The sequence below is a fragment of the Homo sapiens genome, chromosome 5 (genome assembly GCF_000001405.40).
Source record: "Homo sapiens chromosome 5, GRCh38.p14 Primary Assembly".
Lineage (NCBI taxonomy): Eukaryota > Metazoa > Chordata > Mammalia > Primates > Hominidae > Homo > Homo sapiens.
The window spans coordinates 171,412,899-171,430,350 of NC_000005.10; the positions used below are offsets into that span (position 1 = coordinate 171,412,899).

At 52.7% G+C, this 17,452-nt stretch overlaps 1 protein-coding gene across 1 annotated transcript in view, besides 4 other annotated features; it reads left to right on the plus strand.

The window, feature by feature from the left end:
• Positions 6,586-6,695: a silencer, noted in NCBI's record as "silent region_16609". NCBI's record gives its function as "represses an Ori minimal core promoter by ATAC-STARR-seq in GM12878 lymphoblastoid cells {active_cell/tissue: GM12878}" and the evidence as "EXISTENCE:reporter gene assay evidence [ECO:0000049][PMID:35858748]".
• The window catches only part of FGF18 (fibroblast growth factor 18), a 37,980-nt gene continuing 27,276 nt past the window's right edge, over positions 6,749-17,452 (plus strand). The window contains exons 1-2 of the mRNA NM_003862.3: positions 6,749-7,333; positions 7,509-7,545. Coding sequence (NP_003853.1) covers positions 7,302-7,333; positions 7,509-7,545 — 69 coding nt within the window. The 5' untranslated portion in view covers positions 6,749-7,301. The remainder of the gene's footprint in view (positions 7,334-7,508; positions 7,546-17,452) is intronic.
• Positions 6,816-6,925: a silencer, noted in NCBI's record as "silent region_16610". NCBI's record gives its function as "represses an Ori minimal core promoter by ATAC-STARR-seq in GM12878 lymphoblastoid cells {active_cell/tissue: GM12878}" and the evidence as "EXISTENCE:reporter gene assay evidence [ECO:0000049][PMID:35858748]".
• Positions 7,066-7,115: a silencer, noted in NCBI's record as "silent region_16611". NCBI's record gives its function as "represses an Ori minimal core promoter by ATAC-STARR-seq in GM12878 lymphoblastoid cells {active_cell/tissue: GM12878}" and the evidence as "EXISTENCE:reporter gene assay evidence [ECO:0000049][PMID:35858748]".
• Positions 7,176-7,255: a silencer, noted in NCBI's record as "silent region_16612". NCBI's record gives its function as "represses an Ori minimal core promoter by ATAC-STARR-seq in GM12878 lymphoblastoid cells {active_cell/tissue: GM12878}" and the evidence as "EXISTENCE:reporter gene assay evidence [ECO:0000049][PMID:35858748]".

The window sequence follows — 17,452 nt, forward strand, 5'->3', positions numbered from 1 at the left end:
AGCCTGTGAAAAGGAATCAGTGAATTTATCCTTAATTCAGATTTTCATGTATTTGTATGTATATCAACCCACTGTGTTTTTTTGGTGCTGATATTTTCTTTTTGACCAAGGGAATCCCCTTCAAGCTTGCTCCTACCATAGCAGGTCTCAATAATCTGATCACTCTTCGATTTCTTGTGTGACGGGGTGTTTCATCTTGCTCATTTTCTTCCTCAGACCTGGAGGGGCCATTTCCCCCAAAGAACCTTGGCTCCCTTAGAAATAATGGTATTTGTAGACCACTGTCTGGGTGGGAACATTGCTTGTTAATACTGGGTTCTAGGTTAGCCAGTTGATTAGATCAGACCAGACCCTTTGGAAAAACAAGGGAATGAACAATTCTAAGTGCTGAGGAGGGCATCCATGCACAGGTTGGCTGACAAGCTTTTCATAAGTCAACAGTCAATGTAACTACAGAGCTGCCCTCAGTTTCAACCAGAGAACAGGTAAAATAGGTTACAGTAGTAAAAAGTAAGGCCATGCAGGGAAAGCAGATGAGCTTAAAAATATGCTAATACAGAATAATAGGTTTATAGTGGTGTATCACTGCAGAAAATACGTGATTTTGACTTAATATGTAGTCACAGATTACTTAATGATGGGGATACATGCTGAGAAACACCATTAGGCGATTTTATCATGTGAATATCAGAGTGTACTTACATGAATTTAGGTGGTGTAGCCTATACCATACACCTAAGCTGTAGGGTACAGCCCACGCCTCCAAGGCTGCAAACCTGTACAGTATATTTGTACTGAATACTATAGGCACTTGTACCTCAATAGTGAGTATTTGTGTCTCTAAACAGAAGAGGTACAGTAAAAATAAGATACCAAAGAAAAGGGCATACCTGTGTAGGGCACTGGAATGAATACAGCTTGCAGAAGTGGAAGTTGCTGAGAATGAAAAGCCTAGGACATCACACTACTGTAAACTATAAACACAGTATAATTATGTTAAATATAAAAATGTTTTTCTTCATTAATGTAAGCTTACTGAACTTTGTAAAACTTTTAAAACTTTGACTCATAATACTTAAAAAACTACAAAAATACACTTACTTTTTCTCTCTCTCTTTTTCCCGGGCTGGAGTGCAATGCTGTGATCTTGGCTCACTGCAACCTCTGCCTCCTGGGTTCAAGCAATTCTCCCGCCTCAGCTTCCCAAGTAGCTGGGATTACAGGCACCCACCATCATGCCTGGCTATTTTTTTTTTTTTTTTTTTGTATTTTTGTAGGGGTTTCATCATGTTGGCTAGGCTGGTCTTGAACTACTGACCTCAGGTGATCTACCCGCTGGGTAGTGCTGGGATTATAGGCGTGAGCCACCGTTCCCAGCCTCAAAAATACATTCTTATTCTGTACACTTCTATTAAGTTTTTTTCAACTTTTCTGTTAACTAGGCCTAGGCCTACCATAGGGTCAGGATCATCATGTCACTTATCCATCATATATTGTCTCACTGGAAGGTCTTCAGGGGCAATAAGACGATGCTGTCATTTATAACATTGCCATATAACTGCCTGAGGCTTTTTTTTTAAAGGATCACACTGATAAAAAGTGCAATAAATATGTAAATCAGTAACATTGATTTTCATAATATCAAGTATGTGCTGTACATAATTGCATGTACAGGTTTCTTTACACCAGCATCATGAACATGAGTAATGCATCGTACTCTGCTGTTAAAATTGCTACAGTGGTCAGCTCCCTTATAGTCTGGGCCCATCGTACAGGTGGTCTCTTGCTAACCGAACCATCGTTATGTATCTTTTATTTTTGTTCTGTTTTTTGAGACAGAGTCTCGCTCTGTTGCCCAGGCTGGAGTGCAGTGGTGCAGTTTTGGCTCACTGTAACCTCCGCCTCTCCGGTTACAGTGAGTAACCTTCTGCCTCAGCTTCCCAAGTAGTTGGAATTACAGGCACGTGCCACCACGCCTGGCTAATTTTTATATTTTTAGTAGAGATGGGGTCTCACCATATTGGCCAGGCTGATCTCGAACTCCTGACCTCAGGTGATCTGCCCGCCTCGGCCTTCCAAAGTGCTGGGATTACAGGTGTGAGCCACTGCGCCTGGCCAGCTTTTTTTTTTTTTCTTAACGGATAACATTTTTTTTTTTTTTTTGAGATGGTCTCACTCTGTTGCCCAGGCTGGAGTGCAGTGGTGTGATCTTGGCTCACTGCAACCTCCACCTCCCGGGTTCCAGCGATTCTCCCACCTCAGCCTCCCGAGTAGCTGGGACTACAGGCGCATGCCACCACACTCGGCTAATTTTTGTATTTTTTATAGAGATAGGGTTTCACCATATTGGCCAGGCTGGTCTCAAACTCCTGACGTCAAGTGATCCATTCACCTCAGCTTCCCAAAGGGCTGGGATTACAGGCATGAGCCACCATGACCCGCTGTGTAGCTCTTGGCAGTACTAGCTTAATGAGCAAGGAGAGATGAGCATTGTATAGGGCGTGGGTCTTTTCTTGGAAATTGTCCAAAAAAAAAAAAAAGTTGAGAGTTAACAAGTATATACTGAGCCTATTAAAGGTGGCCTGGACTCTGGAAATACAGGGTTAAAGTTATTTGAGAAAGTCTGAGGCTACTTTCCAGCCAGTTCCTTAATGAAAAGCCAGTTACTCCCTGACTCATGGACTTGGCAGTAGAGGTCCCAAGTTTTAATGCTGTGCGCCTTCTAGGAGCTGGCTTTGAGAAAGCTTAGAGCCTCATTTGTGCTAAGGGTCTACTTTTCTTATTACCTGATAGTGCTGCTTGAGGCTGTTTGTCCTTTTTTTTTTTTTTTTTTTGAGACAGTCTCACTCTGTCCCCTAGGCTGGAGTGCAGTGGCATGATCTCGGCTCAGTGCAACCTCTGCCTCCCGGGTTCAAGCGATTCGCCTGTCTCAGCCTCCTGAGTAGCTGGGATTACAGACACGTGCCACCACACCTGACTAATTTTTGTATTTTTAGTAGAGACAGGGTTTCATTGTGTTGGTTAGGCTTGTCTCGAACTCCTGACCTCGTGATCCGCCCACCTCGGCCTCCCGAAGTGCCGGGATTACAGACTTGAGCCACCGCGCCTGTCCTGTCCTGTGTTCTTAGGCTGGATGTTTTCCATCTTTGTCTCCACAATATTTGTATTCCACAGATTCCCTGAATCTTAGGAGTCTTCTCAGTCAAGACTGGGAAGAAGTGGGAAACAAGTGGAAAGACTGCAGTACTCAGTTTACTTGCACACTTGAACAAAGGGATTTAAATATATACTCTGTTTCAGACGAAAGTTCTAGGTGCGTAGGGTTAGTAGGCAAGGCAGCGAGATGCTCTGCAGGGCTTACATTTCATTGTGTTACTTGTCAACATATATTCTTAACTCCCCTCAGAAAATTGCCTGAGTTTATTAGCTTAGAGCTGGGAATTTAATGCAGGTGTGTCTGATTCCGACCCCCAAAATAGCACATGGCTGCGTAGCCCAAGCTACGGTACCCTTACCTGGACTGGTAACAGCTAGCTTAGCATCCTCCTTACTCCAGCTACTAAGAATGAAGTGGAATGGTGTAACAGCATTCCACTTCATTCTTAGCCAGGGTAAAGCTTTTTTAACAAACTGAATTTTGACTGTTTCAAAGCCCTTAATTGACAAATTGTGGCATATCTATACTATTAAGTACTATCCCACGATGAAAATTGACTACTGCAAAATGCAACAATGGATCAATCTCAAACATGCTCAGCCAGACACAAGCACATAATAGGTGGTTCCATTTATGTGAAATCGAAAATAAACCAGTGCCAGATAAATGATTGCTTGGGACGAGCAATTGGGGGCCGGAAGATTGCCTGAGAAGAGGTGGTGTTTGTACCTAGATACATTTGTCAGAACTGAACTGTACACTTAAAACTGATGCATTGCAAAACTGGTACCCTTAAGCCATTGATGGCTACTTAATTTCCTGTGAAGGCCTGGTCAAGCACATTGCCTGTTTTCACCCTCATCTCTTGCCACACTCTCCCTGGCTAACCCTGCCAGTCGCCTAGCCTTTTTCCACTGGAGGCACTTTGCATCTTTTACCTGGAATATTCCTTTGCATGGCTATCTACTGTCTTTGGGTCTTGGCCTTAATGTTACCAAGAGGTCTTCTGGCTTCTCTATCCCACTGGTTTCTCTCAAAACACTGGTAACAAGCCAGCATTTATCTCTTGGTGTATTTGCTTATTGCCCATCTTCCCTAGTGGAAACGAAGTGCTTTTTTAGTGCAGGGACCTTGCCTGTCTTTCAGTGAGGGCTCGACACTGTAGGATCTCAATAAATTGTGATTGAATTAGTAAGAAGTGACTACTAAAATAGTGGTATATATTAAGTGTTGTATGAACATGCCAAATCCAGATAGAACCCATTTAAGATTCAGGCATATGGTAAATAGGTCATGTTGGTAAATAGGTGCATGAAACTAGAGGGTGTGAGTGGTGGGGAAAAGAATGTGTAGTATAAAATGGATTTGGAGTCAAAAGACATTCTGACTAGATGCCTCTTCAACTGTAAATTGGAAATGATCCTGCCTCCCTACTTCATGAAATTGTTCAGAAAGAAATGTGAAAATAACCTGAAAGTAACCTGAATAATAATTAGGATTATTAGTTAGCAGCTAAAACGTTTGGAGTTTTCATTGTGTGCCAGACACTCATTGAGTACTCACAACTCTGTGAGAGTTGTTACTGTTCTTAGCCATATTTTGTAGAGGAGGAAGCAGAATCTCAAACCGTTGCTTGCTGGAATTTATAAGTAAATGTTGGTGGCAGTATTCAAATGCAGTACTTCTGACTCCTGAGTTTATGCTCTTACTCAGAACTGTTCTCTTGGCTGGACTTTTTGGTCAGTCTGATTTGTTTGGTAGGTGAGATTGGCAAATATACTTTGAGCATTGAAAAATACTGCAAGCATTTTAGATAGGGTATAAATAATTATATACCCATTCCATTCACAAGTAATAAAAAATAGTAACAATATAGAAAATTGGAAGCATGATTCTTAGCCAGGAGATACTTCAAACTAGCAGATGGTAAGCCAAAAACTCCTCGACTGGGTTTGTCAATCTTCCTATAAAGCAAGATCAAAGACGGCGGCAATGACTCGGGTCATCGGTGGGAGCATTTCTGTCCATTTCTATTTATGGTTGGTCATTGCATCCTATCTTGGGATCGATTCATTTTCTCCAGAACTTGGGAAGTTACGAGTAACTCTGCAAGTCCAGCTCTGGCAATCAGAATGTCTAAGTAAATTCAGCTTAAAAGCTTCATGCAGGAATTTTCCCCCTCAGCACCTGGTTTTGAAAAGGTTTTCTGCACTTGTGTCCGATGTTGAAACAGAGGCTATCTGTTTAAAATAGCCTCAGCTTTGAAAGGGAACTTAAAATAGCTTGCAAGGAGGCCTGATATTTGGAACAATTACTAATGTTTTATAGTCATGGCTTCAGCAAATAGCACTGTTCGACAGTCCTACCTCAGTTTATGCTCCAGTGGACCATCAACCATTGCCAACGCAAGGAGGCTTTAACCAAATAGTCCAGATTCCTGAGTTTTGCTTGAGCCTGTCCTCCAGCGTCTTTCTCACTGTGACCTATTTTCCTTAGCATCAGGCTCAAGCAGAGCTTGGCTGACACCAGCTCTAGACAGTGAGGCAGGTACGTGACAAGAACACCTACGTTTTGGGGTTGGTGGGAAGGACAGGAGTTATGCCTCTGGAAGGGGCAGAGGCGGTAAGAACCAGTGTCCTGAATGGGGCCCTGGTTAAAGGAACGAAGCTGCCTAGTATGCAAACGGAGGCAAGTCTTAGTCCGGTTTTGGGAGGAGGCCGGAAGAGGGCCTCAGCGTGGTCGCTGACCAGAGTCCTGCTGGCTGCTCCCCGGCGTGCAGCCGTCCGTGCTGGGGTTGCAGTGACGTCTCGGGGCCGCTTGGTGGTAGCCGTGTGTTTCCAAAGCTGGCTCGCCTACGGGAGAGTCCAGCTGGGATCCCGTGAACCGACCCCAGAGCCCCGGAGGGGGCGAGGGGTGGGAAGGAGAGATGCCCGGGAGCCCCCTTCGCAGCGGCAGGGACGTAAGAAGAGGACGGGGGCTCACTTAAGTGGGTAGCCAGTCAAGAGGGTGGCTGGGAAACTCCACGATCGCAGGGCGGGTAAAAGCGACCCCCATTCAGTGGAGCCGCCCCGGGGCTGGGTTTGACCCGCCCCTCTCGGCTCTCCACTAGAGCGCTGGTGAGTGAGTGCGAGTAGCGAATGTGGGCAGGTGAGGACGTTCCGTACCTAACTGCGTTCTTGGGGAGCATCGCCTGCCCAATTTGGGCAACGTTTGCGCGGAGGAGCGGTCACTGCGCTCGGGCGCAGAGCTCCGACGGCTTCCAGCGCTCACCAGCTTCAGTCTCGCGGGTCCTGCCCCTTTGGAGCTGCCGGTCCCGTCTCCGAGAGTCTGAGCGCCTCCCCTCCAACCCCGAGCCGCCAGGAGAAGGAGGAGGAGGCAGCGAGAGGCCGCGGCAGGCAGGCGAGCAGGCAGGGCCGCCTTTGATGTGGGCTGGGCGCACCCAGGCGAGCTGAGCGCCCGTCCGGCCGCGCCCCGAGGGGGGAGCCCCCAGGCCCCGCATCCTCATTGTGCCGGCTCGGGCCCGGGCCCGCCCCCGGCCCCCCGCCCCCTCGCCGCCCGCGCGTAGAAAACGCCCCGGCCGCCGCCAGTGGTGGGAGGCGGCGATGCGCACGGCCGGAGAGACGCGGAGGAGGAGACATGAGCCGGCGGGCGCCCAGACGGAGCGGCCGTGACGCTTTCGCGCTGCAGCCGCGCGCCCCGACCCCGGAGCGCTGACCCCTGGCCCCACGCAGCTCCGCGCCCGGGCCGGAGAGCGCAACTCGGCTTCCAGACCCGCCGCGCATGCTGTCCCCGGACTGAGCCGGGCAGCCAGCCTCCCACGGACGCCCGGACGGCCGGCCGGCCAGCAGTGAGCGAGCTTCCCCGCACCGGCCAGGCGCCTCCTGCACAGCGGCTGCCGCCCCGCAGCCCCTGCGCCAGCCCGGAGGGCGCAGCGCTCGGGAGGAGCCGCGCGGGGCGCTGATGCCGCAGGGCGCGCCGCGGAGCGCCCCGGAGCAGCAGAGTCTGCAGCAGCAGCAGCCGGCGAGGAGGGAGCAGCAGCAGCGGCGGCGGCGGCGGCGGCGGCGGCGGAGGCGCCCGGTCCCGGCCGCGCGGAGCGGACATGTGCAGGCTGGGCTAGGAGCCGCCGCCTCCCTCCCGCCCAGCGATGTATTCAGCGCCCTCCGCCTGCACTTGCCTGTAAGCGCCCGCGCGCGGGGCTGCCCACCTTGCCTGGCTGTCTGTCCGTATGCCTGTGCCCTGTACCTCTGTCTGCCCGCCCGTCGGTTCACCTGACTCTTCGACTGCGTGTCTGTCTGTCCGTGCGCCCCCTTCCTCAGGTCCCACTGACCGCTTCTCCATCTGTTTCCCGCAGGTGTTTACACTTCCTGCTGCTGTGCTTCCAGGTACAGGTACGTGGGCTCCTGACTTTGACCTCCTCCCGCCCCTGCCTCGCGGTACACGCCGACCCCCCTTCCCCGGCCGCGCCCCCTCCCTGTGCCCCACCCCTCCTGGGCGCTGAGCCCAGTGCACCTGTTCCCAGGGCGCGGAAGGGCGGCTCCGCGTGCGCCCTGCGCCGGCGGGGAACCGGCCAAGGGCAAGGGGCTCTGCCGCGGGGCCCGAGGAGGCGCTGGCTGTCGCGGCCACTGTCGGCCTCGGCTGGGAGGAGATCCCGCAGAGCCGGCGGGCTCAGCCGCAACAATATACCCAGCTCTAAGACCCCTGCCCGCAGCCAGCGAGGGGTAGGACCTAGGGATTTTCTCTGCCAACCTTCCCTTAACATCGCCGCTTCCAAACAAAAAGACTTTCAGCCGAGTGGATTTCGAGTCCAGGGAGAAAGCTTCAGTTGTAAATTACTCTGTGGTTTTGAAGGCGCTTGCAGCACTGAGACACACACACAGACACACACACATGCCCGGGACGAGGGGAAGCTCGAGGGCGCCTAGGCCGAGTGGCCGCTGCCCGCGAGGCCGCTCCCGGATGGGCCGCGCTCCGCACTCCCTCGCCTAAGGTGGTGCAGCCCTCGTTGGTTCCCCGCCTGCTCCCGGTTCGCTCGCTCTCCGTGAATCAGAAGAGGGCTTGGCGCTCGGCCTGGAAAGCACTTGCTAAAATCTGATCTGTTACTTCAGCAGCTTTCAGACTCGGGAAGGTCTTGGCACGCAGACAGTTGGAACGCTCTGGCTTCCAAAGCCGTAGAAATGAAGGAAAAAGGGTTGGGGGGAGGGAGAGAGAAGAGCGAAAAAGGGAGCCGACTTCAGCCCCGATTAGAACCAGACCAGGGCTGCCTCTGCATGGTGGGGGTCGGGGGGCGGCGGGCAAAGGGAATAGGAAGCGTCAGCTCCCCAAGCCCCCACCCACCTAGTGCTGCAAGGGGCCAGGCCAGGAGGAACTGGACACAGGTCAAAAGAGGGTTGTCTGACCCTTCCCCCTCGGTGGAAGGCAGGTGGCTTTCCGGGATTAGAGAAGATTCTTAGACCTTAGCCTTCTGGATTGTGGAGATCCCCAGAGCTAGCCTTGAGCACAGGAAATTGGTGGTTCTCCCGGTTTTCTGGCTCAAGGAGTGTTGTGTGCCTTGAGCACTGCGCGACTCAACAGCCACTCGCAGTGTTTGGCGGTGGTGGGCCTGCTATCTTCCTTCCACGCCCAGGAGAGGGTTGTTACCCTCCTGATAGGCACTGAGCTGGGGGCATCCATTGGGGCTTGGGGATGGAAGGGTGGACGGACTGATGGGTTCTTTCCTCCTGTTGGCCAGGCTGGGGTCCCCAGTGACTCCTTGAATCAATATAACTGGAGTCAGTAACTTAAGACTGGCTGTTTGCCAAAGCAGATGTGACCTGTGTGGTGATGGGGGTGGGGGTGGGGAACGGCTGGTGTCAAAGAGGGAGGCCAGTGCCAGGCATGGCCTGCCTGGTCTGCAGCTGAGTCCCCAAGCAGAGGGCAGGCCCTGGGGTCACTCCAGGGGGTCTGCTTGTCTGACCTGGGCAAGAGCTCTTTTCCAGAGTGCTGTGCCTGGGGGCAGGAGGGATGAAATGGGCAAGGAGTAGCAGGGAGGCCTGCGGATGTGTGGCTCAAGCCTCTGGATGCCTGCTGCTGTTGGTTCTTCTTGAAGTAGGGCCCAGGAGGGGCTGCTGTGTGGTCTTTGTGTTCTCCGTGGGAGCTGGAGGGAGGGAGTGTGGACTCTGCATCCCACCTCCACCTCCTGGCCAGAGCTAGAGCCAGCATCTTGGGAAAGAGCTGGGTGGTCTGCCCTGGTTAGGTCAAGAGGCAGCCTTCAAGCAGGTGAGGGATCCTCCTCTCCCCACCACCTCCACCTTCCCCCTTGTCCCCACCGGCCTTTCTGCATCCAAAGTGCCATAAGACTGATGTTTTTAACCCATGGTCCATGTACCCTTGGAGTGTCAAAGGATGGGATTGTGGGAGGGGGAGGTCCCTGAAACACTGCACAAAAATGGTGCTCAAATGTGCTGTGTCTGGAAGAGGGTTGCCTGCTCCCCACAGAGTTTCAAAACATCTATGACCCCTAAAGATAAAGAAATGTTATCCTGGGAGTTATGGGCAAGGTTGTCAGGCTTATGTCCCCATTCACACTACAGGGGCAAAGGTGGGGTGGCCTTAATGGTTGAAATGAGGGGTAGGAGCCAAATGATGTTAACTGCCAGGAATCTGGGGCCTGCTCCCTGCTGAGGTTTGGGTAGGCTGCACTTAGCGGGTAGCAGTTCAAGCTCCTTTAGGGTGAGCCGGGGCCAGGGAGGCCTCTCTACATGGCAGGAAGGGCTCAGGGCTTTGCAATCCAGTGGCCTAGGCCTGAACCCCAGCTCCAGCTCCATCTTTCCCTCTCTGTGGATCCCCAGAGTCTTAGCTGCATCATTTATGAAATGGTTGGTCATGGAGTTGAACTGGTATATGATGGGGGGTGGGGTAGTTTTGCCAGTTCTCATCCACCCAGGAAGGCACATTGTGGCTGCTGGGAAATGGATGCGCCTACGCCCTTCCCTCCCCTCGCAGTGTTTTCCAGGACTGGTCCAGTCTTAGCGGTGGAGTTTCTGGGCCCCTCCTTTCTTCCTGTCCATCGCTACCGGGCTCAGAATGGGTCCCTGCCCCCAGCTACGTTTCCATGAGCACATTCAGTGCCAGACACTGTCCTGCCCACCCCCAAAGTGGTGAGCCCGCCCTCACCCGCTGGCCACCCTGGGAAGTGGGAAGCTGGGAATTTAATAAAATCCCTTCATCCCTTCTCCACACGACTCAGGACACCGTAGATAGCTCAAATTGGAAGAATTTTAAAAATTTCCGTGGGGAGCAAACGGCGTGACCAGTAAATTGCTTTTCTGCACTTGGCTGAGCTCTGACAATGACACCGGGCTGGGCCTTTCACGCAGCTCGGCCGGCACCTGCCTGACATTGTTCCTGCCGCCAGGCTCGGCTAGGTCCTGGCCTTCCCCAGACAGACCAGGCATGAGGCGGGCCAGGCTCGGCGGGGTGGGGGGGCATCCCCTGGCCTCTTGTCCCTCCTGCCAGCCCCTTAGCCCCTTGTCCCTCCTGCAGCGCCACTTCCTCTCTCACCACAAGAAGTGTTCAAGTTTGGAAGTTTCCTTCCACGCCCCCTCTCGGCCTGACCACCCCCACACCCAGCCTCCTCAGTGAGGTTTAGACCCTTTCTTTAAGCTGGTTAGGATGGGGAAGCTGGAGACAGTGTCCTTTGGTGCAAAAAGAGGATGGGATGCTCTGTTAGTGGATGGCACTTTTTTTTTTTTTTTTTTTTTTTTGTGCTCTGTCACCCAGGCTGGAGTGCAGTGGCGTGATCTTGGCTAACTGCAACCTCTGTCTCCTGGGTTCAAGTCACTCTCCTCAGCCTCCCAAGTAGCTGGGATTACAGGTACACACCACCATGCTGGGCTAATTTTTGTATTTTTAGTAGAGACAGGGTTTCACCATGTTGGCCAGGCTGGTCTCGAACTCCTGACCTCAGGTGATCTGCCTGCCTTGGCCTCCCAAAGTGCTGGGATTACAGGTGTGAGCCATCCACCTGGCCTTTTAATTTCCTAAAGCAACATCATCCATCCATCCACAGTCAGGTATTCATTCAGCACATACTTGCTGGGAGCCTGCTTCTTGCTGCCTTGGGAATAAGGTCTAGTCAGTCCCTGGCCTCCAAGAGCTCCCAGTTTAAAGGGAGAAAGTGCCAGATGAACAGAGCCTTGTCTATTCTGCCCCCTCCTCTCCCAGCACTGTGAAGTGGAGTGAGGCAGGCACATACATCTTCCTCCCGTTTAGCAGGGGAAGAAACTGAGTCCCAGGAGCAGTGATTTGCATGAAGGAAAAAGATGGTACTTGTAGAAATTCTAAAGTGTCCCTTACATTGGGAAGCTGGTTCACTTCTTTCAACCATTCTACAGGGAGGCCAAGAGAGGGTAATAATTCTGTTTCACAGATGGAGAAACCGAGGCACAGAATGAGGAAGGGATTTGTTCAGACCCAAGATGCTGGATTCAAGATCTTGTATTCTTTCTACCATAGCAGATGGACCTTCTTCTCAAAGAATCCTGAAATTATTCAGAAGAATATTGGTGGGCCCATGGAGTCCTTAGAGACATGCTAGGGATCTGCAGTGAGATTCTCTTTGGATTCTGGTATAAGGGGGATGTTGAGAGCCCAGGTAGGCGTCTCTGGGCTTGAGGGTGTCTGACTTGGAGTCTGCAGGTCCTGATCCTCCTGGAATGTGTTGATCTGAGAGGGTCCCAGAGTTAGAGGGGGGTACTTGGGGGCTGGGGCCCAGAGGATTCAGCACTCCTCTTCCAGCCTATCCCCAGCAGAGGGGGAAGGGGGAGGGGGAGGGGAGGGGGCGGGGCTCCCCATCAGCATTCCTGAAGCTTGGGAGTGTCACCCGCTCTGAGATAAGGAGGTGGATTTTTAGAATTTCTTGTGGTTGGCACGGCCAGTGTCAGCAGGCTTGGGGCAGCCCATCGGTCACAGATGCAGCCTCCACCCTGCCCTGGGCAGCTCCAAGGACGCACTGGACCCCCAAAGGGAGACTAGAGGGGTAATGGGAAGAGACTTCCATTTTCTGCAGGGCCTTTTGGTTCTGACCTAGTCCTCTAGCAGGAGACTTGTGGGTGTGGAAAATTGGGGTGCAGTCACATCAAGCCATCAAAAACAACAACAATATTCATAGTGACCACCAGGTATAGTGCACTCACTACATGCCAAGTGCTTTTTTTGTTACTGTTGTTGAGTTGGAGTCTCACTCTGTTGCCCAGGCTGGAGTGCAATGGTGCGATCTCGGCTAACTGCAACCTCTGCCTCCCAGGTTCAAGCAGTCCTCCTGCCTCAGCCTGCATGCCACCATGTCTGGGTAATTTTTGTATTTTTAGTAGAGATGGAGTTTCACCATGTTGGCCAGGCTGGTCTTGAACTCCTGACCTCAGGTGATCCACCCGCCTCGGACTCCCAAAGTGCTGGGATTACTGGCATGAGCCACTGCACCTGGCCGCCATGTGCTTTTTTTTTTTTTTTTTTTGAGATGGAGTCTCGCCCTGTTGCCCAGGCTGGAGTGCAGTGGCGTGATCTCGGTTCACTGTAAGCTCTGCCTGCCGGGTTCACGCCATTCTCCTGCTTCAGCCTCCCGAGTAGCTGGGACTACAGGCACGAGCCACCATGCCCGGCTAATTTTTTGTATTTTTAGTAGAGATGGGGTTTCACTGTGTTTGCTAGGATGGTCTCGGTCTCCTGACCTCGTGATCTGCTTGCCTCGGCCTCCCAAAGTGCTGGGATTACTGGCATGAGCCACTGCGCCTGGCCAGCCATGTGCTTTTGCACATTATCCAGGTCAAGCCTCACAACCAGCCTGGAACTAGGGAATTCTACAGAGGAAGAACAAGAGAGGCACCGGTGCATAAAGTAACCTGCGTTTGGTCACATAGCAAGAGAGAGGCAGAGCTGGATTCAGCTCTGTGTCTGTCCGGCTCTAGGACTCAAGCTTACTTGTATGAGGGCTCTGGAGTGTGGCTCTGCTTTCTCTTTGCTGTGTGACCTCGGGCAAGTTACTTAACTCCCCTGGGTCTCAGCTTCTGCATGTGTACAATGGGAAAAAACAACCAAAGAAATCATCCCTACTGCCTCAGGTAGTTGTGGAGGGACAGTGCATCACCCAAACTCTTGTTTGTAGTCCAGACCCTGCTCCTATGCCTCTTACTCTAGGAGGGTTCCCTTGCCCCCTGCCCGCCCCCATCAGATATAGAGTCCTTCCCCAGGGCTGCTGCCTTGTCGTCACTGTGGGAGGGGAGGTGTTGATTTCTCCTTTCTGTGGGTAAGGGCTGCTCTGAGGAACCTCTGTATGCTCCTAGCTTTTGCTGTGTTGGCTCTTCTCTAACTCATAAGACCCCATGGCAGTGCATGGAGGGGAGGGCTGGCCTTAGAAGGGGCTTGGGCCTGCTGTCAGCACTGTGGGCCTGAGCATGGGGATTTATTCTGAAACTGCAGCAGGTCAGGAGGCCCCGTGGGCTTTGGTCCGGCTTGCTAGCAGTGTGTTTGCTCTGACGTCTCAGTGGCAAAAGGCCTCAGGCCATTCAAAATGCTGTTGTGCCAAGGATGGGGCCAAAGACAAGCCCCCTGTGGGCCACAGAGTGGAATCCCTGAATACCTGGGTTCCAATCCTGGCTCTGTCCTGGGCTCACTGACCTCTCTCTCTGAGCTTTGATTTACCCGCCTGGGTATCAGTGAGGCGAGGTCAGTGGCTTCTGTGATGCTTGAATGCATAGGCTTTGGCGTAGGGGAAACCTAGGTTGAATCCTGGCTGTGCTTCTTGGCAGCTGCTCTGCAAATATTCCTTAACCTTCAATTTTCTGCACCTCAGTTTCCCCATCTGTAAAATGGGATCATGAGAAATACCTACTTCTGGCCGGGCGTGGTGGCTCACGCCTATAATCCCAGCACTTTGGGAGGCCGATACAGGCAGATCACTTGAGGTCAGGAGTTTGAGACCAGCCTGGCCAACATGGTGAAACCCCGCCCCTACTAAAAATAGAAAAAATTAGCCGGGCATAGTGGGTGCCTGTGATCCCAGCTACTCAGAAAGCTGAGACAGGAGAATCGCTTGAACCTGGGAGACGGAGGTTGCGGTGAGCCAAGATCACGCCACTGCACTCCAGCCTGGGCAAGAGCGACGCTCCATCTGGGAAAAAAAAAAAAAAAGAGAAATACCTACTTCTTAAGGGTTATTGTGAGAACTAAGTGGGATATTGCACACAGAGTAGCTAGCACAATGGCAAAACACTCGATGAGTAATTTAGTAAAAGTAATTGTTCAATCAATTATATTGTCTGTGTTAGGTACGTAACATGCTGTGGGGTGCTAGGGAAAGCTAGAAAGGACGTGTTCCTTGGATCAGTGACATCAGGCCTCCTCCAGTCTGAGTTGGGAGCACAGGCTTTGGACTTAGGTCTGGATTTAATTGCCACTCTACCACTCAAGACTGTGTGGCCTTGGGCGAGGCCCTTAACCTCTCTGAGTCTCCACTTCCTCCCCATGGGCAAAATAAGGATGCTCATCCCACTCCCCTGGCCTGTTGGTAGGAGTAATTGATGACTAGCTATGTAGTAGGCACTCAAATATAGTGTTGCTCGTCATCAACAATCCACAAACATTTATGGGACGCTTGCTGCATACCTGGCCCTGGACTGGTTTTGAGGGGAATGAAGAAGGTATCCAAGGCTTTTCCTTCCAAGTGTTCCCCATGAAGAGATGGCACGTACTTCGAGAAGCTCTGTTTCCCCCGATCCCCATCCCACCTTCTGCCTTGGAATCGCATAGCGCTTGGCCACTGTCTTTGATCCAGGGCGCTCTGCGGGGCTCACAGGGATGGGTGGGTTCTGGGCCCAGCACGCTTCAGTTGGCCGTGTGACCGAGTGATTGACTGGCCTCTCTGTGGCTTATCATTCCTGTAGGCATCAGGACAGAACCTCCCTCCTGGGGTTGCTGAAAGGGTGAGTTCCCCCTGCCCGGGGGAGGCACTTGGCATAGCGCCTGGCTCATGATAAGTGTTAAGTAAATGTGAGCTGCGTATCTGCATTCAACTCTGGGGTGTCTCAAGGCCGGATTGTCCACCAGCCCACGGGTTCCTGGAAGTCAAAGGGAGGTCTGACCCCTGCTGCAGGCACCATGGCACCTGGCACAGACCTGGCATGCTGGAGGAATGTTGGGTCAGTGAGTGGAGGTTTGAGGGAGAGGTTCTCTGGGGACCGGGATCCAGACTGAATCCCCCCACCCACTCATCTGTGCCAGGGGCTGGGGCACAGAGAGGGCCAGCACCTATCCCAGCCATTGGAAACTTGAGAGAAACTGGGAGTATGTGCTGGGGAGCAAGAGCTCAAGGGTGCAGCAGGTACTCTGCTGACAGGCCTTGAACCAGACTCTGGGGCAAGAGGGTCTGGCCTGGGTAGATGTTTCACGTAGACCTTGAAATAAGAGCAAACCGGGTGAAGAGGACACTGTGAGCCTCTGCGTGCGTGCATGTGTCTATGCGCATATATGGAAGAGCCTTGCAGGCATATGGAACGGTGCTACTGGAAGCAGGGATCAGCCTGGTGGACTCACAGAGCTCCAAGCTGACTGGGGTGGCTGGCGCATCCATTCCCAGGAATGGGGATGATGGAAAAGACCGTGGTGGGCTTTGAATGCTGGAATAAAGGGCTTGTTACCTCATGGGCATGGATGGCCATTCTCCCTACCCAGGGGCTTTAGGGAGCTGGAATTGAAACAGGGATCAGTGGGAAGAGGAAAGGGAGAGAGAGAACAGGCCATGGGTCTTTACGGCTCCAGGGTTGGCTGCCTGCAGCAGCGGTGCCCATATTGATGATCTGTACCATGAAGGCTGATGTATGGGGAGAGGGAGGCCGACCCTCGGGCCCAACCCCCCATCCTGCAGTGCCCCCCTCCCCTGCTGATGGCTCAACCCTGCCAATCAATACATTGATAGCCCTGGGAGCATAATGGACAGTCTGGGGGGTGGGGAAGGGCCCTTTGCGGCGTCACTGTCTGTCCTGGCTGAGTTGGTGTGCGGAGTGTCACAGGAAAGAGGCCAGAAGCCCGGGGTTGAGGAGGTGGGGGCACCCATCAGAGCCACACTCAGATTCAGGGTGGGCCCGGCCTTCCTCCTCCCCTTTCCATCCATGGGAAACTCATGGGCTTCAGATCCAGAGATGGGTTCAGATCGTGGCTCTTTCAGTTTCTGTTCAATTTGGGCCAGTCCCGTGGCCTCTCTGTGTCTTCCTTTGTCACCTGGAACACAGGGATAGTAATAGTTTCAGCTGCTCAGGTTGTGTGAGGAGCGGACATGGGCCCTGGCATGGGGGCAAGTGCCCAGCCAGTGGGAGCCAACGTGAGCTTCACTCTCAATGACAGTAATCCAGAGAGCGTCCCTTGGGCCAGAGTCCAGGAAGAGTTAGGGGAGCTGCGTTTTCAGGTGGAGAGAGTGGCTGACTTTATCGGGAACCCCCACTGGAGAGGAGTGAAGGTCTCCAGTTTGAATCCAGAGTTTGGAGAAGCTCTGAAAGCCTTGGCTGGCCCGATGCTGCTGCTGCTGGAGGAGCCAGGTGGTGTGGAATGTGGCTGGAAGTCTGGGGGCTGCCCCTCCTGGGACCAGGGAGACCCTCCCTTTCTGGGCAGGTTGCCTGGAGACAGGAGCATGGGTTTCATGAAGCCTCAAGGATCAGAGGATGAGGCCTGGGCGGGAGAGGCCGTGGGGCTGCATCCCTGTCTCTTGGGTGGGGGCAGAAAGCTCAAGGGCCCCAGCTTTTTGTGGACAATATTCCAACCTCCTTACCCCCAAACTATGGCCTGTGGCCTGAACCAGTTGTCGTCCTGGAAAAGTAGAAAGGAGGTGGGTGAGGAAGAGGAGGGAGAACAGTGGCAGGCGAGGGCAAAGCAGGAGAGAGCCTGGGCTGGATTTGCATCTTGATTTCTCACCAATTCTGTGACATAGAACAAGTGATGTAACCTCTCTGAGCCTCAGTTTCCCTCTCTGTAAAATGGGAATAATAATCGTACCAGGCTGAGCGCGGTGGCTCACGCCTGTAATCCCAGCACTTTGGGAGGCCGAGGCGGGTGGATCATGAGGTCAGGAGTTCAAGACCAGCCTGGCCAAGATGGTGAAATCCCGTCTCTACTAAAAACTATAAAAATTCACTGGGCGCGGTGGCAGGCGCCTGTAATCCCAGCTACTCCAGAGGCTGAGGCGGGAGAATCACATGAACCCAGGTGGCGGAGATTGCAGTGAGCCAAGATCACGCCATTGCACTCCAGCCTGGGCAACAGAGTAAGACT